The 24,615-nt window shown below is 34.3% G+C and overlaps 1 protein-coding gene across 18 annotated transcripts in view; it reads left to right on the plus strand.

Annotated features, from left to right (window-relative positions):
- GRID2 (glutamate ionotropic receptor delta type subunit 2) overlaps positions 1–24,615 on the plus strand; it is a 1,506,491-nt gene that overhangs the window by 909,201 nt on the left and 572,675 nt on the right. For 17 of the 18 annotated variants that reach the window (NM_001440459.1, XM_024454024.2, NM_001510.4 and 14 more), the window contains 2 exons: positions 3,572–3,745; positions 11,448–11,609. In NM_001440459.1, coding sequence (NP_001427388.1) covers positions 3,572–3,745; positions 11,448–11,609 — 336 coding nt within the window. Of the gene's footprint in view, positions 1–3,571; positions 3,746–8,114; positions 8,220–11,447; positions 11,610–24,615 lie in introns of those variants that run through there. The other variant, XM_047450137.1, reaches the window with a different exon arrangement.

Genomic DNA, 24,615 nt, shown 5'->3' on the forward strand with positions numbered 1-24,615 from the left:
GCTCACTTCTAAGCTTTCAAGTAGAAAGTTGCCATCCTGCTTCTCTTCCTGTTGGTACATAGCCTACAGTTGGATTTGTTCCATTTTTTAACATTTGCCTAATTGATTCATATTAATGTTAAATTTTATGGAAGCATCAAAGGGTCATCTTTGCTAAAATATGAAAAATACAAACAAATAAGAAACAAACACCACATAGTAGAGGGCTTAATCTTAATACTAAAATCTTCTTTATTTAGAATTGTTTAACATTTTAAAGTATTCTGGTGTCTAGAATTAAAATTTCAGGTATAAGTCTTTAGAAGATGATAAAATCTTACCATTCATTCATTAAATAAATTTTGTATTTATCAACATTTATTGAATACCTACTATAAGCCAAAATATTTGTTAGATGCTAAGAGGTATAAGAATGGGAAAAAGGAAACTATTCCTCTGAAATTGTTATTTTTAGTCTAAATTGGCATCTGATCCAATGGATTTTGAGAGTCTTTTCTTCCCACAATCTTATTCATTTCAACCTAAAGCTGATATACTACAAGGATTCAGAAATGATTCAATTCTCCTAAGAGATTTCTTCTGGGAAATGGCTGTTTCTAGATGGAGTTGTATCCCCAGAAGATATTTTAGCATTCCTTTTTTCTTCCTCGGGGCTTTCACAGTTCAGGATTCAACCGACATTAAATTATTAAAGCAAAGTGAATAAGAATATTTTGTCGGACATATTGACTTTGATTCTTAGTAGTTTTCAAGTATCTAGGTAAATTATTTTTGGGAAAAAAGGCTTCCTTAGCCTAAATAAGTAAAATAGAAAAGTTAAGTCGCTAAAAAATACTTAATCATTTGTTATTGCAATGTTAATTCTACTTTTATGAATATACTCAATAAAATAAAGAATATAAGAAGGAAAATAATTTTATAATTTGGGTTCTTTAAATTACTTAGAGCTCAGGAATACTCTATATCTTTTAAAAGATTAAGATATTTAATGGTGCTGGGGGCTTGGGAGAGTGAGTGCTTTATTGGTAAACTAGTTCTTCACATGATTATTTTAAAAAATCTGACAGTTTAAACATTTTTTAAAAAATTCAGAGCATTAGGATAATATAGATCCTAGTACATTGTATAACATTTTAATACACAAGTTTATTTCTGGACTTTTTTCCATTTAAATGGATCTCTTTATAGATTAAATGATCACTTGTCTTTCAGTGTTTATATAACTTTGCATCTGCCACTCTCGAAATGCCCCTTTTGAAATGCGCAAGTAAAGTTCCGTAAATATAAAATAGCTGCCTAATCAAGTTTTCATATCACTGTTAAACTGTTTTTGAGATCACATGTCAAGACTAAAATTGCAAGTGAATTTTTTGAGACAGATTGTCTGTTAGTTTCTTTCAGAATGACAGATTCTTTCTTCCCAGAAAATTACTTTCTCTTCCCTTCCCCAAATAATAATAGGCAAAATACACTCAATTCAAACTGACATTTCTTCAGATATATTTTAGTTGTTTAGGTGCCTGAGAACTTCATCTTTGGAAACCTATAAAAGGTAACCACCCCTTTTCCCTTTTTGTGGGTTTGAAAAATGTCCTCTTAAAGGATTTGGCTCATGATAGATGACTACATCATTCCTTCCAGAATCATCAGGAAATTAAATGCTGAAATAATGTATCTTTACAGTTTTAATTTCTACCATTCATAAATATTAATCTAAATAATTCCTGTAAGGAAATATGGGCATGTATAACTTCTTCAGAGACTGTTTCTTTTGATGACATTTATAAATTCATCCTATGAGTAGAGTATTATGAATGAAGAGCTTCAAGTCTTCCTGAATCTTTGTTTATAAACTGAGAATAAATAGCATCTGATTCAGAGTATCATCTGTTAGCAGAAAATGAGATAATAAAGTAATTAGTATTTTGCTTAACATATAGTAGATACTTATTAAATGTGAATTTTTATCCAATATGCTGATTTGTAGTTCATTATGAGTGGTGTAGATAGAGATGCTGCTGTTTGATAAAATGTTGATAAATCTTAGTATTGCTAAAGCAAAAAAAAATACCATATACATAAAACAACTTAGTTAATGTTATGAGAAAAGTCATACAATTTTCCACTGCCTTCAAATGAAAGTTCCTGTCTGTATCATTTGGAATTTAAAAAATTGGAAGACATTGAATAGCAATATTAATATTAATTAACTTTAAAAGATGTCTGGTTAAAATCAGGACTTCAAATGGAGTTGACAGGATACCGTTTAATCCTACTTTGTGAGTAGATTACATAGAATTTAAAAGTGACCTGCTCTTTGACAGACAAAGTTTTTGGTGGCCAGTGAAATGACACAGACTAAAGGAAAAAGACGGCATTTTAAACTGAGAAAAACCATTTTTATGGAACATTAAGGATTGATTAAATGCCCAGAAATCCAGGCTATTACACTAGAGCTAGCTGATGGGAGGCATCATTTTATTTTCAGAAAAATCTACACTTCATAAAGATCATATATAAAGGACGATTTTTGAATCTAACATATGCTACAAGAATAATATGTAATTAATCTGGTAAGAAAAAAAGAACATTTACACCTATGAATTATCTGTTTTCTTTCATTTTTTTTGTAATAATTTCTTAGATCAAACCTCAGAAATGCTCACTGCAACCCAAAACTTATTTTGTTTCCCATCTTTTATTTCTGTTGCCGTAAAAATTGATTGAAACCAATAGTATGTTAATTACAAAGACTTCATTCGTTGTAAAGGTTCCAAATGAACACTATTAAGCACCAACTTCTCTAGTAAAGACTACCTTAAAACTAAAATTTATTTTAATCACTTTTATCCTAATTCCATTTAGAATAGATAAAATTTGTTTAGATAAAATTAATTTAGATAAAGAGCACTGGGTTTCTCTCTCATCTCATCCTGATTCAGATTGTATTAAACAACAGAATTTTTCATCTATTCCTTACCAAGAGAAACATACGAGTTAACATCAACAATTCTAATAAATTATTAGAAAAACTTATATATCCTCTTGCTCTACTTGCCTCAGTTAAAAGCCAAATTTTTCATTGCTAATTATGTGTGTGTGTGCATGTGTGTGTGTGTATGTGTGCGTATGTATGCATGCGTATGTGCGTGTGTATAACTCTTACATGGCAATTACCTTCCTAGATACTCAAAGTAATAGTATTAATTAATAATAAACTATAATAGCAACTTACTTTGTGACCTTTTTAAATGTTTTGACCACACCTATGTTTCTACAATGTTCAACATTATAAATTATAAACTTATTGTTAATAACCATATGTAAGACAATTGCTCCATTTAGCATTGTTTAGGCACTAATGTATATAATTTAAAGCATAGAAAGCAACTACAAATGAGTTGATAATTTTAACAAAAATATGTTGCTTTCATTTAGATATGCACTAAGCATTAAAACCAATATATTACAGTAACAGAATCCCTAACATTTACAGATAACAACTCATAATAGGTTTGTGTTTTGTGACTGTATTAAAGTATCTCTAATTCTTCCACCTCTTATCTTATAGGAAATAAACGATGTGGACGTACAGGAACTTGTAAGAAGGTCAATTGGAAGGTTAACGATTATTCGGCAGACATTTCCAGTTCCCCAGAACATAAGTCAGCGGTGTTTCCGTGGCAACCATCGAATATCTTCAACATTGTGTGATCCAAAGGATCCATTTGCTCAGAATATGGAGGTATATTATAAATGACAGGATATTTCTTCCAGGGTGCTTTGTTGGGCAATTGCAAGGAGAGCTTTATGAGTTGCATTGGATTCAGAATTATACGTGTTATTTCTGAACAATTCTCCTCCAGCAATTTCATAAGTCTAATGGGGAGAAAGTGCTAAGAATTTGCGTCTTTGTTCTTTTTGATCTCATTATAGAAAAATTTCTACTTGCTTAATAAAAAAATATAATAAGTAAAGGTTATTTTCTTCTAAACAAGTAGGTCCATAACATTTCCCACAGGAGAATTTGTAATTGGTACTCCTTTTTCCAAACTCTAAATTATTAAACTAATAAATGTGCTTGACTTTTCTGGCCTAAGAAGGACATAGATATTTATTCTTTTTAAAAAGATTGGTCTCCAGTTTGAATAACTCCAACAAAAAAAATTAGATATGAAAAAAGTGCTGTAGAATTGTATGGTCATATCCAACTCCGAGAGGATATAGCTGAAACCTTCAGCATCCAGAATACAACAAAGAATTTGAAAGATATAAATAAAACCTCTGAACAGCGAAACAGAGAACACCAAGTCCCTGTAGCTTACTCATAAGAATGCCCTTTAAATACTTACTTGAAGCCTATTTCTTTTTCTTAAGAAAAAGCCTCTGTGGTTTTTTTTTCACTTTGCTCTGGAGATCTCAATATGTCAATCTGAAGGGGGTGTTACACAAAGCAGGCACACAGGACAACAGCAGGGAGCCTTAAGGAGCCCTCTTAAGCAAGAGACGGGAAAAAAATCAATCAGATAAACTAACTCATATAACCTGTCAGTATAGGACTCTTCCTGCAAAAACAAATCTGTGCCATAAAACAACTCCTAAAGGTATCACTGCAGTATAATGCTAGCATATAAGTTAATATTTAAACAATAACCCTGAGATATTAGCAAATATTAAAGTCATGGCCAATCTTAGAAGTAAGCAAAACCTAATATATTTTAGAAACTTGTTCTTTAAAATATTTACCATAGGAAACATTTTAGTACTTAGAGATTTTCAGTTTTAACAGTTTGGAAATATAACCCTAGGAAAACTAGTTCCTCTCTAATAATACTAGATAAATAAGGTGCTTTTGCAAAACTAATCTGAAAAATAACCCCACAACCTCCCTATCCTTAGTCACCTTTGAATTTTTAAAAAAGGATTTGCCATTTATCCAACCATTTCTTCTAATTACTATCACTGTAGTACGTGGACTGGCTCCAGGATCATTACCCTGTAACTTTCTGTTGCCTACTAGATTTTAAGCTCCTTTAGAATAGGTCCTTTCCATGGCCAGGTGCAGTGGCTACACCTACAATCCCAGCAATCTGGGAGGTCAAGGGGGAGAATCACTTGAACCCAGAAGTTTGAGACCAGCCTGGGCAGCATGGCAAAACCCCATCTCTGAAAAAAATAATAATAATAATTAGCCAGGTGTGGTGGTATCCTCCTGTAGTCCCAGCTACTCAGGAGGCTGAGGTGGGAGAATCACCTGAGCCCTAGAGGTCGAGGCTGCAGTGAGCCAAGATTGTGCTACTGCACTCCAGCCTCCAGCCTGGGTTTCAAAGTGAGTCCCTATTTCAAAATAAATAGATATGTCCCTTCAAGAACCCAGCATCATAAGTACTCATAACGTGCTTCTCTACCATTTCCTCCATCATAATTACCACAGTGCTTTGGATCTGTGTGAATATATATGTTTGAATGTAATTAAGGAGAAGGCAATAGTCAAAGTAAATCTTCTGAAGCCTTAACAACATCTCTTTAAATTTCAGTTCCACCCTTATCTATATGTGTATTAGTTCATTCTCACACTGCCATAAAGTACAGGGAAGAGGTTTAATTTACTCACAGTTCCTCAGGGCAGGGAAGCCTCAGGAAACTTACATTCATGGTGAAAGGGGAAGCAAACATGTCCTTCCTCACATCGCAGCAGGTAAGACAAGTGCTGAGCAAAAGGTGGAAAAGCCGCTTATAAAACCATCAGATCTTGTGAAAACTCACTACTATCATGAGAATAGCAAACGGATAATCATCCCCATCATTTGATGACCTCCCACCAGGTCCCTCTTATGATACATGGGAATTATGGGAACTACAATTCAAGATGAGATTTGGATTGGGACACAGCCAAACCATATCAATATGCTTATAATGTCCCATGTTTGCATTTTAACTGGTCATGGATATAATTGATGTGAAAATGATAGAATTCTAAATAGAAAAAAAGGAAAGAATTTTGATTTAGAAAATTATAAAATATTAAAAGTTGTGTTTGTTAAAAGAAGTATCAGGAAATGAAATACAAACTTAAGAAAAATTATTGACTGTGTCATTTAGGGACAGCAGAAATTATTTTACAGCATATTTGCCTAACAACATAATCTTTCCATTTCAGTTGATGAGGACTTCAATATCTGTGAACAAATATTTTATTTATGTCTATATTCCTAATCTTACCTGAAACAATAAAGTATGGGGAAGCACCAACTTCCTCCTGACTCATACCTTCATCTTGGTCCTGTCAAACCCACAGATGGAAGAAAACAAGAAAACTACTTTTGCGTTGAGGATTTGTTACATGTGAACATCCCTCTTATGTATGATAGAATTTGATCTCTAGACTGTTACCTATTTTAATATACATAGACAGAGAAGTAAAATTTAGAAAAAACAGAAAATGCATTTCACAAATTTTTTAATTAGTGTCCAAAGACTGAAACCCAGGATTAGCTTAAGTTGCAAAATAAATATTAAAGAACACCTTTTAGCTAGAAAATGGTGTTTTTGCAACATATGTAACAAGCAGGAAGTGATCCATTTACTGCTTAGTGGAACTAATGTTAGTTTGGCTGCTAATGGAGAGAAAACAGAAACATTCTAATACTTTTGCTCCTTTCTCCATCTAAGAAAAATTGTCTTCAAATTGGGAAGGTTAGAGTAAAATTCATTAAAAGAAAATATTCCACTGGTTCAGAAGGAGCAGGGAGATAGCAAGAGTAGGGGCACTGCTTTGAATTAGGCTTGCCAAATAATTGCTCAGAGTAGCCAATCAGCCAGCAGGAACGATCAAAATATGATAGCTCAGAAATACTGGAGAAACACTTAGGAAGAGGACCAAGGTACAAGAGATTGGTGTATTGTCCCAATTACTGAAAGGAAGGAAAAAAGATTCTCATGGAGTTTAGCATATTAAATGTTACTATGTAGATAAACTGTAGAATATATTATTAAATCAATGGTTTGGAGTACCTCAGATAAGACAACAGGGCTTCCTTAAAAACAAACACTGCCAAACTAAGCCTTTATTTATATATATATATATTTTTTTAGATTGGGAGAATGTCATAAATCTATGTGTTACATGTTGATTTTTATGTGGTGTTTGACAAATTTTTACCTGAAATCCTTAGGAAAGATATTGAAAAGTCTTGACAGAGTGATGACACTGAAACATTTTCACCAAAGGGTTCCTAAAGGCAGAAGATAGTGAACACTCTGGCCTCAGACAGAAAGCAAAATAAAGCTCAAAAATATTTAAGTCTCATTATTACCTTTAAAAGTTATAACATTTGTGTATATACAATTAAAAGTAATACTTCAAATTATTTGCCAATTAAACTAGTTGTTTTTCTCCAAATATTCAAACAAAATTGATATCTAAATAAATCAATCAAATCTTCAAGCAATATTGATATGACTAGAATATGCCTTAGATGTATTCGGTGGCTTTGAGTACTTCCTGATATCCACAACCTACCACCAGGGTTTCTTTTGTCCAGAGTTTGAGGATTGTAGAACCAGATGAATATTCAAACTGCAGTGATAAACATTCTATTCCTGAAATGCAAGGAACTGTCTATGGTCATTCACAAGATTCTATTCTTGGACCTAATATTTTTAAAACGTCTATCACTACGTGAATGAAGATGAATAAAACATGCCTATCAAATTTGTAAATGGCATAAAGCTAGAAGAGAAAGCTTATGTTGTATTAGATAATCAAGTTCCAAATTGTTAGTGTTGACTGAATAATAAGCCTAAATTTGAAAAAGCACAGATAAAGTATAGGTTCAAAATCAATTACATGAAGAATCCTGGTTTGACAGCTGTTCAGATCCCTTAAGTTGAAGGTAAATTCAGTGTGTGTATCACACAAATCATATTTGCTGTAACTATTTTAATATAATCGTGGTCTCTATGTCAGAAGAATTTTGCTAAGATAAAGAGATCTAATGTCTTACACTATTCTCTCCTAGTCAGATCACATCTGTAATAATGTGTCAATTCTGGATACTAAATTTTTAACAGAAACATTGAAACACAAGAGAAAGACAGAGAAAGAGAACTAAGATGATCAGCCTAGAAACGATACCAGGTGATGAAAACTAAAAGAAAGATATCTCAAAGCAAGCCACAGATGGTGTCAAATATTGAAAGCTTGTCATGTAGAGGAGGTGAGTGTGGAGATTTGGTGATGTCAAAGAATAAGTGTAGTGCCAGTAAGGTAGGGAGAAATGATTGGTCATATGTGACATACTGGAGTCTATGATTTTAGAGGTGATGTATGTTTCTGTCCAGTAAATGGTCATTTGTGTTGGTTGAGGCCTAAGTAGAAGTGAAGATCATCTGTACAGAAATTGAAGTGACCTTTTAAAATGATGAGAGATAGTTTGGTATTATTGTGAAGGAGGAGTCAAAGGCCTTACAAATAAAATAAAATTACCAAAAGATCAGTTAATGATGACAGAAAAAAGCAATAAAGTGTAGCATAGGAAAGAGTGTGAAGCTCAAAGAATGGGCACTTGCCTGCAAAAGAAAAAGTGTCAGATTAGGAGGGGTAATGAAAAGCTCAGGGAATATTACCACCACTTCTTGATCCTGCAGTTTGGAATGTGGACAAATGAGGAGACGTAGTCATTTATTGAAAATGCCTGTCATGTAACAGGTACGAAGCACTCACCTTTAAGACTAGCATAGATGCTCAAAATACATGCCTCACGGTCTGCAAAAGAGAATGTGCCCCAGCAGTGTCAGGTTTGGATAGAACCCAGGTTACCAGATTTTTCGTGTCTCAACGTCTGCCAAACACACCTAGCTTTAAAATTGACTTTCTTTTTTTCTCCTCTCTCCATCCTTCGTCTTCTTTTACTTCACAACTGTTTATCAAAACCCAAATATGTGCGAGGCTCTAGGCTAAGTCTTAGAGAAATAAATTACGGGGAAAAATGGAAGAGAAAAGATGTACAGTATGAGTCCCCATCCAGGAGGAATTTATTTTTTTGTGGAAAAGGTAGATTTAAAAAAGAATTTAGTATTCTGATATGTTTCAAAGACGTATGCACTGTGTGTTCCGGTAGATGAAAAGAGGTGCTCAACCTTGTGTAGGATAAGGAAAGAAAATCAGAAGTTGGCAGGGTAGGATTCTCCTAGCATGTAAGCTTTGAACCAAATATTGAGAAATGTTAACTAGTTGGAGAAAGGTAAGGAGATAGTGAGGGATGCTACCCCAACAATCTTTTTTTTAAATATATATATATATATATTTTTATTATACTTTCAGTTCTAGGGTACATGTGCACAATGTGCAGGTTTGTTACATACGTAAACATGTGCCATGTTGGTGTGCTGCACCCATTAACTTGTCATTTACATTAGGTATATCTTCTAATGCTATCCCTCACCCCTCCCCCAACCCCACAACAGGCCCCGGTGTGTGATGTTCCCCATCCTGTGTCCAGGTGTTCTCATTGTTCAATTCCCACCTATGAGTGAGAACATGCGGTGTTTGGTTTTTTGTCCTTGTGATAGTTTGCTGAGAATGATGGTTTCCAGCTTCATCCATGTCCCTAAAAAGGACATGAACTCATCATTTTTTATGGCTACATAATATTCCATGGTGTATATGTGCCACATTTTCTAAAGACACATGCACACGTATGTTTATTGCGGCACTACTCACAATAGCAAAGACTTGGAACCAACCCAAATGTCCATCAATGATACCCCAACAATCTTAAATACACGTTCACCAAAGGGAAGAGTAAAATAAAGCTAGAAAAGTAAAAGGAAGCAAGTTTCAGGCAGTAGAACCAGGAGGGGTTAGGAAAGGCCAGAAGGTTGTGTATTATTTTGATTTCCCTGGGCATGTATCCTTCATGTAACTTCTATATTTTCCTGTTGGGTCTTTACTGCCTAATTCCAACCTGAATGTTGATTCATGGACTAGTTTTAGCTGTATAGCAGACTTCAGCCATTCTTTTGTAGTCTATCTAGTAATTATCAGGCAAAATGGGGAGTGGCTGGGATAGGGAGTGAAAATAGCCAGTCCTAATACTTCCTTATGAAGGACAAACTTGTATTGCACGTAATGCATTGAGTGTTCAATGTCTCTTCAAAAAAGGCCTACAAGTATTATACATATAAAATGATATTTAACAAACACAAAGGATTGAAGATTTACATGGTATGTAAAAGAAAACTCACAAGGCACTGTTAGGAAGTTCTTATTAAAAGCTGTGCATTGCATCAGACTCTAATTATCTCAATAGCCAAAGCTTAGTACCATCCTGTGATGTGGGTAGACTATTTTAAAAATTTCCTCCATGATTAATTATAACCCGAGGACAATCCATATAGTCTCCTGTATGTTTTTAGGAAAAACCGTGATAACAATATACTTTCAAAAATCTGAAAAACACAAATGCTTTAAGATGGAATTAATTTTCATCACTACATTGATTCCTCATTTTTTTTATTTTATATAGAGTTTTTCCTTCAGAGGAAATATAACATGAAGCAGCTTTTATTGACCTAGGATTCCTTTTGGTATTATGTTTTCCAAAAAATTTTTAACTTCTTTGAAAAATAAGCACCTTTGGTGATTAATTGACAGTATAAATAGTAGTTCTGGTGAAACTTAATTGTAAGAATACAGTAAAACCTTAGCAAAAAATTGGCTATAATTTATTTTTCAATCTATGTAGAAAGAAGTTAATAACATGGTTGTTTCAGAAGAAGAAAGTATTAATGTAAACACACATTCACAAACAGTTAATAGTTTATGGTATTTGTGAAATCAATGAATTGTAATGCATGTGTATACCTGTATAATTTTGTATAGATCCTTGATCACTATAATACATATAAAAGATTGTGTTCTTTCATTATTTCATTTAAGAATCTCCATATACACAAAAATACACACAGTAGACTACTTCTTTTTTAGGTACCTATGACATTCATATATGAAATCAAGTTGATATTTTTCCATCTGAATAACTAGAATGCAAAAACTTAACATATTCAGAAAATGTATTATTCAGTTTGCCCTTCCAATCTTAAACCCTTAGATTCTTACCTCCTCAGAGAGAAATAAGGGCCAATGATTTTCTAAGGTCTAACACTAACAGCCTTATCTCTGTCGAAATTTCTTTCTTTCCTTTTTTAATCTTCTCTTTCACACCTAAATAAGCTGAAAAAGCAATTGAGGCATACAATCAGACAAGACTTCATTCTCAATGACAAAATTGCCCAGGAAATGACAAAAGAAACCTTCTGCTTAATAACCCAGTAAACCAGCCATGTATGACATGAACAGAAGCAGTTGAGACAATTATTTTTTTTCCTTATTCCTGATGACTGGTGTCAATGATTCTAATGATCACTTTCTAATGTCTTTTCAGATTTCCAACCTTTACATATATGACACGGTGCTTCTGCTTGCTAATGCTTTTCATAAGAAGCTGGAGGACCGAAAGTGGCACAGCATGGCAAGTCTGTCATGTATCAGAAAGAACTCAAAGCCCTGGCAGGGTGGGCGCTCCATGTTGGAGACCATCAAGAAGGTAACTTCTTAATTTTCATGTAAAAAGGATATGGTAAATAATTATTTGACATATTTTAGAAAAAGGGTTTCCTCTTTAATATTTCTACAAATTCTAAGCACAAAACAGTGTAATGGGGAAATTAAATATTGAAAAAGAAAAAAGGTGAGAGAGTCATCAACATATAAAAAGGGGAGGCTTCCTTATTTATTTATAAGGGAGTTTTAAGCAAGTAAAAAAAATTGTGGTTGAGATATACCCACTTGACTATGTCATTAGCATTAGAGATACTGAAATTGTTTTGGTGCCTGTCGCAAAATACAAAAGGCTTTTAAAAAAACACACGCCATCCACTAAAAAAATTAACAGTAGACTTAATTAGCACTTTTTCAGTTAGATAATATACATGGTAAGACACTGGATGTGATGGCCTTTAATTTATCTCATGATAAGGATAGGATTCATAAGTAGATAATATGTTGCAGCATTTGTGAACTATTTGGGGTAACTGATTGCATTATTCCTCTTCACTGTCCATGTGTTGCTTATTCCAGCTGTGAATCTGTTTGGCTTAGCTACCTGTTCCATTCCCAGAAGGCAGTTTATGTTGTTTAGCTCCTCTCAGTGGTATAAGCATTCTGCAGTTTATTAGACTCTTTGTCATGTCATCCTTCTTGACATTTTCCATTTGTCTTGTACCGCCTCTTGGATTTAAAATGAAATGATTAATAAAACAAACAAATTCTCCTATACCCTTTACACAAAGGAGACAGACATTTGGAAGTTTATATTCTGTATTTTACCCATCCTTTTTCTTTCTGCATGTATTTTCCTTTCTTTCCTGAAACCCAAAGAAAAATAGCTAGTCAATTGAAATATAAATGCCCTTAAAAAGTCAGAGTAAAATATAAAACTTTAATATTAGAAGTGAACTAGGTGTACAAAAACTAGAAGTAGAGGAAATAAATATTTTAAATAGAGAATAGCCTGGATCTTTCTCTTGGTACTTGTATCAGTCCCTTTTCTGCTGTTCTAACTGATTACCACAAATTGGGAAATATATAAAAAATGGAAGTTTTTTGGCTTATGATTCTCAAGGCTGGGAAGTCCAAGACCATGGCACCCACATCTGGAGAGGGTCATCTCATGGCAGAAGAGCATCACATGCTGAGCAGCTGCACAAGATAGAGCGAAAAAGGGGGCCAAGACTTCCTGGATAACTAATCCACTCCCATTATATGGGCATTAATCTATTTACGAGGTGGCATCCTCATGATCTAATCACCTCAATGTCCCTATCCTTAATACCATTGCAATAGCAATTAAGTTTCAATGTGAGTTTAGGAGGGGACACTAAAATCATAGTATTCCATCCTTTGACCCCCAATATTCACGTCCCGCTCACATATAAAATATATTCATTCTATCCCTATAGTTCCAAAAGTTTTAACTTGTTTCAGCATTAACTCAAAAGTCCACATTTCAGAGTCTTATTTAAATCAGATATGGAAGAGACTCACATGATTCATCATGACGCAAATTTCTGCCAGCTGTGAAACTATGAATTCAAAACTGATTATCTACTTCCAAAATGCAATGGTGGGACAGTCATAGGATAGACATTTCTATTCCAAAACAGAGAAATAGGCAAGAAAAGAACAATAACTGGTCCTAAGTAAGTCTAAAACCCAACACGAAAAATAATATTAAGTCATAAAGCCGAGAAACAATATCCTTTTACACCATGTCCTCATTTCTGGATACGCTGAGACAGGGATTGGGCCCGCAAGGCCTCAGGCAACCCTGCTCCCAGGGCTTTGCTGGACCCAGCTTCTGCAGCTTTCACAGGTTAGAGTCACATGCTGTTTTAGTCCTACAGTTCTGTGGTCTTAGGGATGGTCCCACTTCCATAGCTCCAGTAGTCATTGCCCTAGTGGAAACTCTTTGTGGCAAGTCCAAACCCACATTTTTACTCAACATTGTCTTAGTACGGGCTCTCTGTGGTGGTTTGACCCTGGAGACAAGTCTCTGCCTGAGTCTTCATGCTCTTTGTGACATCCTTGGAAACTTTAGTGGAGGAATCCATAGCCAGAGTTCTTACACTGTATGCCTGAAGGTGTAACACCATATTGATGATACCACAGCTTACTACTTGCACTCTGCAGAATGACAGCCCAAGCTTTACCTGGGTCCACTTGAGCCACAACTAGGGCAGGTGAAGAATGTTACACTGGAATAAGGGGAGAAGAGTTGCTAGGTGGCCCTGGACAGGGAGCCCATGATGAGTGCCTTGGGCATATCCCCTGAAATCATTTTGCCTTCCGAGAGACTGTGAGGGCAGCAGCAGCTTCAAAGACTTTTGAAATTCCTTTTAAATCTTTCTCCTATTGTCCTGATAAATAGCACATCGCTCCTTTGTAGCCATGTTAATATCTTTAGCAAATAGTACTTGACTGCACCCTTGATATTCTCTCCTGAATATTATATATATATAATTTTTTTTGACAGTCTCGCACAGGCTGGAGTGCAGTGGTGCAATCTCAGCTCACTACAGCCTCTGCCTCCCGGGTTCAAGTGATTCTCCAGCCCCAGCCTCCTGAGTAGCTGGGACTACAGCCACATGCCACCACACCTGGCTAATTTTTTGTATTTTTAGTAGAGACGGGGTTTCATCATGTTGGCCAGGCCGTTCTTGATCTCCTGACCTCATGATCTGCCTGCCTCAGCCTCCCAAAGTGCTAGGATTACAGGTGTGAGCCACCATGCCTGTCCCTGAACATAGGTTTTCACTCTTTACATAGCCACCCTGTAAGTTTTTCAGATTTTTTGTCTGCTTCTGTCTTTAATATAAAATCTATCTTTAAGTCGTTTATTTTTCTCACATCTTATTATGTTATGTACAGGTAAAAGTAGCCAGGCAGAAGCCTGAATGCTCTGCTGTTTAGAAATTTCTTCAACCAGATATTCTAGTTCATTGCCCCTAAGTTCTGAATTCTACAAAGTCCTAGAATATGGCCACAATTCAGCCAGGGTGTTTGTTACTTTACAGCAAGGATGGCTTTCAATCCAGTTTCCAATACCCTATTACTCATTTCTGTCTGAGACCTCACCAGAATGTCCTTTTCTCTCCGTATTTTTATGAGTATTCTGGTCACAACAAATTAAATAAACTCTTAAGAAGATTCAGACTTTCTCTACAGCTCTCCTCTTCCAAGTCCTCACTAGAATTGTTCTTAAAGCTCTATTCACAGCAGTACAGTTTTTTTGCTAGTCTGATCCTTCAAATTCTTCAAGCCTCTACCTTTATGCAGTTCCAAAGTCACTTCCACATATTCAGGTATTTATTATAACAACAGCTCCACTTATTGGTACCAGTTTTCTCTCTTGATTTGTCTTCTGCTGCTAGAATACCATGGACTTCGTAGTTTATTAAGAACAGAAATTTATTTGGCACACAGTTCTGGAACTGGGAAATCCAAGGGCTTGGAGCTGGCATCTGATAAGGGTTATCCTAGGTGAAAGGACACCACATGGCAAGCAAGCGCATGAGACAGAGACAAAAAGGGGACCAAACTCTTGTGACAATTAACCCATTATAGTTATTAATGCAATAACAGCATTAATCCGTTCATGAAGGCAAAACTCTCATGATCTATTTATCTCTTAAAGTTTCTACTTCTCAATACCATTACAATGGCAATTGCATTTCAAGATGAGTTTTGGTGGGGATTTCAAACCATAGTAATGCTGTGTCTTCTTTGCCAAGGATAATTTTAATGAGAATTTTGGCTGTTATCAACAAAAGTACTTGAGAATTAAATGTATTGAATATATTGGCAGAGAAAGACTTTTCAACTGAAAAATGAATAAGTCTAATCTAGCCTCAAGGTGTTGCCAAAATCTTCCAGCCTTATCTATGTAGAGAGCTGGCAGGTATAAATCCAAGGGAGGTTGTTGAACATGATTCTAATCCTGCCAATTTATTAATTCATGGTTTGGCTAGGATGCAGGATCCTGAATATATTTCTTCTTCTGAAGCTTTCATACCAAGACAAAATAATAGTTTAGGAGGTTGCTTAGAAAACACTTTAGTGAGAGGATCAGGAGGAAGGAAAGAGAGACACCATAATATGTCAGTATTTTTCATGTAGAAATTCAATATGTAAGATATTGCTGTTAGAAAATTTATAACCAAAACAATTATTTAATACAATAATTATGAAATTTTATTTTGTGGGACTATGTGTACATTTGTCCCTGTCAGCTTCTGCCCCAGTGTCACATTTTAAAGAAATATATCCATTCTTTGTGTCAAGAAACTCAGTTTGAATAATGTACATGATTACAAATGTTCAATTTTATATTTTTGTCTCACATTTCAAACTGACTTTAAAAATGGATTTTTAGAAAAAAAAATTGGATTACTTTTTGCATCATATGAGTGTTTTTGGTCACCTATTTAGATGTCAATGCTGGTGATACTCCACACATTAAGTGAGAAAGAAAGTTCATTACTCACATAGAGACTCCCAAGAAGAGCAGAATGGCCCCAGACAGATTCAGGCTGGTTTGGACAAAACAGAGGGAGTGGCCTGGGCCTTTTTGTTGACTAGGGGTTAGGGCTGGCAAAAGGTTCCCACTCATGCGGGCTGGAGATTTGAGAAGCTCAAGTTTCCTACAGGTGTCAAATAAGTAGATGTAGGATGGCCTTTCTTAATCAGACTGTACAGATGTGGGGCCAAAGAAAGGGAGGGTAAGGCTTAAAAAGAAGTCAGCAGCCAGCAACACAAATGAGGTCAGGCTCTTTATTATGATGGGAATATTCTAGTGTTGAAATTTTTAATTACATTCAAATAAATACAAAATGCCTATATTAAGGGCACGCTACATACACATTAAAAATCCGTGTGCTGCTGCACAAAGTACAAGCAAGAAGAGAACAAGTTTCTCTCCCTAAATTAATTTCTATTCTTATTATGGGGAATGAAACAAAAGAATTAAAAATAATGTCATTGACATAGTAGTATAAATGTCTAGTAATGGGCAAGGTTTCTGTTTCTCAGGTACTCTTGTGTACCTGAGCTTTATAATATATGAATCGGTAGAATAAGTGCCTCCTCATTTTCATTCTTTTTTTAAAAATTAGCAGTTAATGCTTGCCTGTTTATTCCTGCCAAATATTATCAGCAGCCCTGTGCCATTGTTATTTACGTGGATGTTGTATGATATTTTTGAAGGAATTATAGTTTTAAAAATATTGAGTCTTTCCATCTATAACATGGCATCTATCCATATAGTTAGCTTTTTGTAATCCTGATTAAAGATTTATAGTGTTCTTCACACATATTTTCATTCTATTTATTTCTAAACTTTAATAGGATGTGTGTGTATGCGTGTGTGTGTGTGTGTGTGTGTGCATGCTATCATAAATGAGATATGTTCCATTAGATTTTCAAACTGGTTATTGTAGGTATTAAAGGAAGATATTGATGTTTCATATATTTTTTGACTGACCTGATCAACTTTCCAAACTTAATTACTGGTTCTCTTGTATTTTTCAAATATACATTGATATCACTGTCAAATAAAATTAATCACTCCAATTCTAATACTTTACGTATTGGCATAGACTTAAAAAGCAGCATGCAACAAGTATACTCTTAAACATACCAGGAGCATTATCTGAAAAGAGGATTTTTAAAAATTTTGTAAAGAAAGTATTCTTCTATTTTTGTTTTATTATATTATGTAATTAAGTTGTTTTTATTAGTAACTTGTACAGTTATAGAGTAGCAAGTCACAATAAAGTTAATCTAACCTTTTTATTCTATTTTTAGGTGTACAGAACCGAAATTCAGAAAAATTAAATGATGTACTAAGTGTTGCGTAGCTAATTAGTTTTAAATACCAGGTTTTTTGGTTTCTAATTTGGTGTCTGTGTACTTTACCATTTACCATTTTTCTTGTTCATGGCAATCATTTTTATTCACTCCTGTCAAAGTCACTTGGCTAAACATGCACACCAAGAAATCATGGGAATAAACACCCTCAATTAATATTATATAAACCCTATTTAAGTTTTAATATGGCTTGTTTTTCAGTCTTTAGTTTATTATGACAAGTTACATTGTTGTAGCTTCTCATGAAAACTATATTTATATATTGGGAAAGAGTTTTCATGTAGTATAATTTAATTTGTTAGTGTTATGTAACCTAGAGCAAGCTTTCAAACTTTTTAACTATATAAATATAATCAATAAATTTGAGCTGTTCTGGAAAAAAGTAGGAGAGGATTTCCAGAGACACCCACCACAATCAGCTCTTAGAGCTACAATTTGAAAACCACTCCCCTGGGGTATTTATAAATCAATTTGCCCAGTGCAGATCTACCTTCTTGGAATAGTGCCATGTCATTGCAACACGAGTAGCCTGTTTTTATTTACAGAAGTGTACTATATTTAAATAGAAATCATTTTTCATTTTTTTCTTAGTGTTAATATTTTTAATACTGAAACAATTTTCAACAGGGCACTTCATTCATGTATTAATCACTCTTTTAACAGGTATTTATCAAATTTCTATATTGTAGAATGTACTGTGCAAACTCATTTATGGAATTACCCCGCACCCCCTGCCAAAAAAAAAAAAAAAAGAAATTTAGAGGCCAGTAGTGAATATTGACTAACTATACAAAGAGCTACACTCTAAGGCCAGAAACAACAAAAAGACCCAAATGTGGTAAATATAGGATACTGTAGAATCTTAGAGAAGAGTGTAATGTGCTGTGGTACATACTGAGATACTTGCTTCACAGCCAAGAAAGACATCTGAGCCTCTGTTCAGGAATTGCCATGGACGGGAATTGTTCCACCCTCTTTCTAGGGGCAGCATGAATCCAATGAACAGTCATTGCAAAACTAGAAATGTCTAAGTTCATTTCTTCAGGGGACAAATATGAAGGGTTATCTACAGACTAGTACGTTGGATGATCTAAACTGGTATTGTATTTGCATCAAACTTTCATCTCTTCCTCTGTCCAGTCCCTCTTCCCTCACTCCATTGCAAGTGCTCTCTCAGTAGCACTTCAAATAAACCTTCTGCATACAAGCAAATCTCCATCTCATACCTGTTTCCTTGAGAACCCAACTTAGAAAATAGATTAGAAATATTTGCATGGAACTGATAGCATCTTAATGGAAATTTCAAAACTAGCAGGCTTAGGATATATAAAGCTATGGAAGGAGGATATTTCAGGTGGTAGAATGCTGTAGCTGATATATCTATTAGACTAAATCATTTGTACAATGACAAGAGTTGATTACCAGAGTGCAGAGAACACATAAAATTGTTTTGACTGGAAAGTGATTTAGGAAAAAAATTATTTTGTGGGTAAATGTAAGACACTAAATAATTTTTGGATAAAATCAGACCTGAATTTTAGAACACCTTTACCTCTTTTATTTAATTTTTTAAAAGCTAAGAAAAATCTTAGATTCAAAATTATGTGATTGCACATAAAATCACTGGACATTTTCTATGTATTCTATATTAGTAAGTGAACTAAAATGTAATAGATGTTTAAATCAAATTCTTTTGCATTGTCTTAATTGACCAATTTCTGTTAAAATTTTTGTAATTATTTTTAATATGGAATGTGGGAAAATAGAAAATATCAGTTTATGCAATATGTCAAATATTTAAGTACCAGTACATTTTCTTATATTGATATATGTTGAGCCCAACATATATCAATATGATATCTGATAGAGTTATCTTGATATATGTATTCTATATTAGTAAGTGAACTAAATTGTAATAGATCTTTAAATCAAATTCTTTTGCATTGTCTTAATTGACCAATTTCTGTTAAAATTTATGTAATTATTTTTAATATGGAATGTGGGAAAATAGAAAATATCAGTTTATGCAATATGTCAAATATTTAAGTACCAGTACATTTTCTTATATTGATATATGTTGAGCCCAACATATATCAATATGATATCTCATAGAGTTATCTTGATATATGTTGATATCTCAAAAAGTATTTTTTGAAATGATAAAAATATTGAAATTATACCATTTCTTACATGGTAATTTATTCATTCAACAAATATTTATTGAATACTACCATATGTTGTACCATAAGATCAGAGAATAAGGAAGGAAAATAGAAATATCAAAAATAATTACAAGCATGATTTGTTCTACAAAAGGAGAAATACCAAGTGTTCTAGAAATATGTCATTGGAGGGCCTACTTAGGCCTGAGAGTGATAGATAAGTGGAAACGTTTAGGCTAAGTATGCATTAGCCAAGAAAGGAAAATGAAGAGTATTCCAGGAAAGGGGAAGGAAGAATGCCTCATGCAAATGAAATAGAATGTTTCTAGGCTTGTAGGAAAGAGAGCTTAACACATTGAAGCACCTGAAATAAGCCCAAGGCAGCCAGAATAGAGACATGGCTTCTAATTAGCTAAAAGGGGGAAAGACCATCAAGGGTTTGATAAACGATGTTGAAATTTCCAAATTTTATTCAAGGAATAACGTGACACTGAAGGATTATTATTATTATTATTATTATTTTTTTTTTTATTTTTTATTTTTTGAGATGGAGTCTCGCTGTGTCATTCAGGCTGGGGTACAGTGGTGTGATCTCAGCTCACTGCAACCTCTGCCTCCTGGGTTCAAGTGATTCTTCTGCTTCAGCCTCCTGAGTAGCTGGGATTACAGGCGCGCACCACCACACCTGGCTAATTTTTGTATTTTTAGTAGAGACAGGGTTTCACCATGTTGGGCAGAGTGGTCTCGAACTCCTGACCTCAGGTGATCCATCTGTCTTGGCCTTCCAAAGTGCTGGAATTACAGGTGTGAGCCACCACACCCAGCCGACACTGAGGTATTTTAAACAGGGTGGTGATAAAATCAGATTATCCCATGCTTGCCAAGTAGAGAATTCTGCAACTGCCATTGAACCAGACTGACTGCATGACAGAACACCAATTAAGAGGCTAATCTTCTTACTTAGAGAGGACCTGGTTAGGTTGTGGGCCATGGGATGGATAGAAGTAGATATCCTTGAGGATATTTACAGGATTGAAATAAGATTTGGTGATTTAATAAGTGTGTGAGGAAGACAAAGATTAAAATAATGATTCCTAGGTTAATGGTTGGGACAAAATGAACTCTAATAAGTTGTCATGTTTGGTTTTGTGGCCTTTTAAAACGTCTGCATACTTAGAGAAATGGAGACATTACTTTTTGTTTAAAGCACTATGTATCATTTAGAATTTACAAATCTGAAGGAAAGAGAGAGAATTTAGGAAAACATAATCTGGCTTACCACAAACAGTATTGTCTTGAAATATAAGGTAGCCTTTTTACAAAAATGTGTGCAAATAAACTTTTTGTCATGGGGATTTAAAAACTGTCATCCATGCTCTCGGTATAGGCCTCTTGTCAATTCACCAAGATACACTCCAGCTTCAGGTCATTTTGATCATAAAGTAGGTAAACTGGAATAGATTTAATTTAATTCAGTTCAACATGCCCTTCTGAGCAATTCTCTATATATAATATGTTATATTGAACACACAGTTTACATAGTCCAAAGGAAAAAATACGAGACACAAGATGAAGGTTTCAGTTTGGGCTCCTCAGTTAACCGGTTGACTTAGGGCCTAAGGGTCCCCTAAGATGGAGACAGCATGATCACAATGCTTGTAACTTCCTGTTTACTTCTCAGCTGGCTGTGAGTCTCTATTATGAATGACTATTTGAGTGTATATGTATATATGCAAATATATGTATATATACACACACGTAATGTTACATGGCAACTCAAATTTTCCTAGATATTTCACACAAACTAGATTCTTTGTATTTGTCGTCCTCTTTTTTTTTTTTTTGCATCTTGTATCTTAGTTTCTATTTACCCATAAAAATATTTGTTTGTTGGGTAGAAAATGTGGTATTTTTCTGGTTAGGGGTTTTTCTCTCTGAACCTGATGCTGATGAAACATGAAGGCATCAGGGCTCCCTGCTGAGTCTGGCACCTCCCAGAGTATTCACTGCCTTGCTGGGCCCATGCTTATATTAACAGATTATCCTTGGTTACCACACACATCTGCAGGTTACAAGGAACCTAGAAATATGTATAAGGAAATTAGACGAGTATGATAAATATTTGATGTCCCACGTGATCCTCCAAAAGTATCTCTTAAGTTCCTTTGCCATTTCAAGCGTAGGAAAAGATCCTTCATCATAAACAGAATGACATAAAGTCTCAGTAATTTTTTTTTTACTTTTTCCCCAACTTTTCCTAGCCATAGGTGAATAATACATTTTGCCTTTTAGAAACTCATTATCCAGTGGTAAATTATTCTCAACCTCTGATTCTCTTCTTTTAATTTTTCTACTCTTTGCTCTCTATATTTGATGTCCACTGGTATTTCTATATCAAGTGGATGGATGAAATTAAAACAAATTTTATTTCATATTTTTTAAAAAGGTTTACTCTGGCAGCAATTTTTACTGCCAATTTAAAGGACGTTTAGAAATTATCTGTATGTGTTATTCATACTACCAATGTCCCATTAGCTTATATTGTTGAAAATCTGCTGCATCACCAAGAGATAAAAAATACCACCATGCATGCACAAAAATAATGACCATTCATTACCCCTTGGCTAGCACACATTTTCACCAAGGCTCTGTTTTCAAGGTTAATTTGAGGATAGATGGAAAAAAGCTTTAAAGCGCTGGAATTTTCTAAGGCAATCCAAAATCAGAGAGGTTAAGTCTGGGTGATATAACAATAGGTTTTAGTTAAAGGGTTTATTTGCTCGAAATACTGACCTCTGAATCATCCCTGACATCTTCATGAGGGAAGGTTTCACTGATTTTACATGCCAACGGCTCATTAGGAATATAGCATAAGGAAGATAAATCACAAAGTCATAAAGTTGAGCAAGGTAAGTAAATGCTGCAGCAAACTAAATGCAAGTCCCCCAATTTATTGTTTTCTGTACCTTCTTCAAGTAAACTAAGTCATTCAGTGGAAGATAAAGTAAAGGATAAAGGCATGACCTGGAGTGGTCATGTGGGTATTGATTGAAAATAATAACACAACACCAGATTAGTCTAGTGCTCAAATGTGTAAACATTTTAGGGATATAGTAGTTTTATGTAGCAATTATATTGATATATGATATCTTTTTCGTATAAATAAGCTACTAAAACATAAATTTAAGATTCTGATATAATTAGAAGATATTAATCAGGTAGATGTGTGATTATGAACAAGAAAAACTTGTATAAAAATATTCTGAACACAAGTTTTTGAACTTACTTGTAGTAATATAAGCTATATTTGTCAATCAAATTCCTACAGTATTTGTCATTTGGAGATACTAATGATAATAAGATGCACTGCACTTACTTCAGTCTTTAAAATATAATTGGATGTTTTGAGATATTAACAGTGAGCACATACCGGAATAGATTGGCAAGAATCAGGTATATTGCCCTTATCAAAAATACAAGCAATCAAAGGGAACAAAGGAGAAAAAGGAGGAGACATTCTGCATGGCTCCCCAGGTTCTTTCTTCCCACACTGGAAATGCTGATTCGGTCTCCAAGGAAGGTTTCATAGGTTTATTTCTCACCACAGGGAGGATTTACATTATGAAACATTTCCATTTTTACCCGAGAAAATGTAAAGCTTCAGGACATTTTCTGAGGAGCCACAAACCATTAATCCATAGATCCTGGGTTTATTTACTACAGTATTTTTTAGCCTGGGATATCCTGCTAAGGGCTTTGTATAGATAAGGAATCTTCCACCTAGTAAATATTACCAGTCTGTTTACCTGGAGTTCCAATTGGCAGGGAAATTAGACCAACCTTCACCCTCAGTTGCTGCCCTATACACACACCAGTGAAAGGAGTGAATACATCCTAGACCAGCTGCTTAACTTTTTTCTCTTCAAGTACTAATCAATGAAATGTAACTGAGTTGACATTTGCAAAAATATTTTCCAAAGCCATCTAAATATTTAAGCGTATAATAATTTTTGGCAAACCCACTGAATTTTAATTAACAAAACAAGATTATGCCAACGATTTCTAAGAGAACTAAAAATCCTTCAAAAATAAAGAATTAAGTAACAGTGGAAGTAATGATGATAATAGTATTTAAGCTCTTACCACATGTCAAGAACTTTTCAATATTCTGTACATGTATTATAAGAATCAGAATAATCTTCTGGGGTAGGCACTATTATTTTCCCATTTAACAGATCTAGTGTTTGAGGCATAAATGAAATGGCTTAGCCTGGTTTACACATCTAGTAGATCCCGAAGCCATTGGTGAAACCCAGGAAGTGTGACCTATGTTCTTGACTGCTAAATCATGCATGAAAATCCACTAGGATTTTTATTAATAAAACTAGATAATAGAAACTGGCTGATTAGGGAATAATAGTAAAGAATTAATTTTGTTGATTATTACTATTATAAAAATACAATAGATTAAATATTAAAATTAGTGATTCAGGTAGGAAAACATCAATCAAAAATAGTTTATTGAACTCATCATGAACTTTGCATCAGGTGATTGGGCTACAAGGCACAAATGAAGTAGAAGGAAAAGCAAATAGCATAATATTACTACCAGCCAGAAAAGACTGGAAACGGAGTTGCAGGTTATGTCAAGTGAGATATATTTAAATATCAACATCTTAGAGGTGATAATTAAAACAATTTACAAAACTGAGATCATTTGTTTTCTAAATAAATGTCATTACCAGGCCAAAATTTTAAGTTAGACATATTTTAGCATTGAAGTGACTCAGAGTGCGATTTTCATTTGTAAAATCCTAAATAATATGAAGACTGATAAACTAAACTGAGAAAAGAATGATAAACAAGAAAGAGAGAAGTATGACCTACATTGCCATCTGTTGGATAAATGAACATCTGTCATATTGAATGAAAGATGAAGCTTGGAATTCCCAGAGAATCTCAACA

This window comes from Homo sapiens, chromosome 4 (genome assembly GCF_000001405.40).
Source record: "Homo sapiens chromosome 4, GRCh38.p14 Primary Assembly".
NCBI lineage: Eukaryota > Metazoa > Chordata > Mammalia > Primates > Hominidae > Homo > Homo sapiens.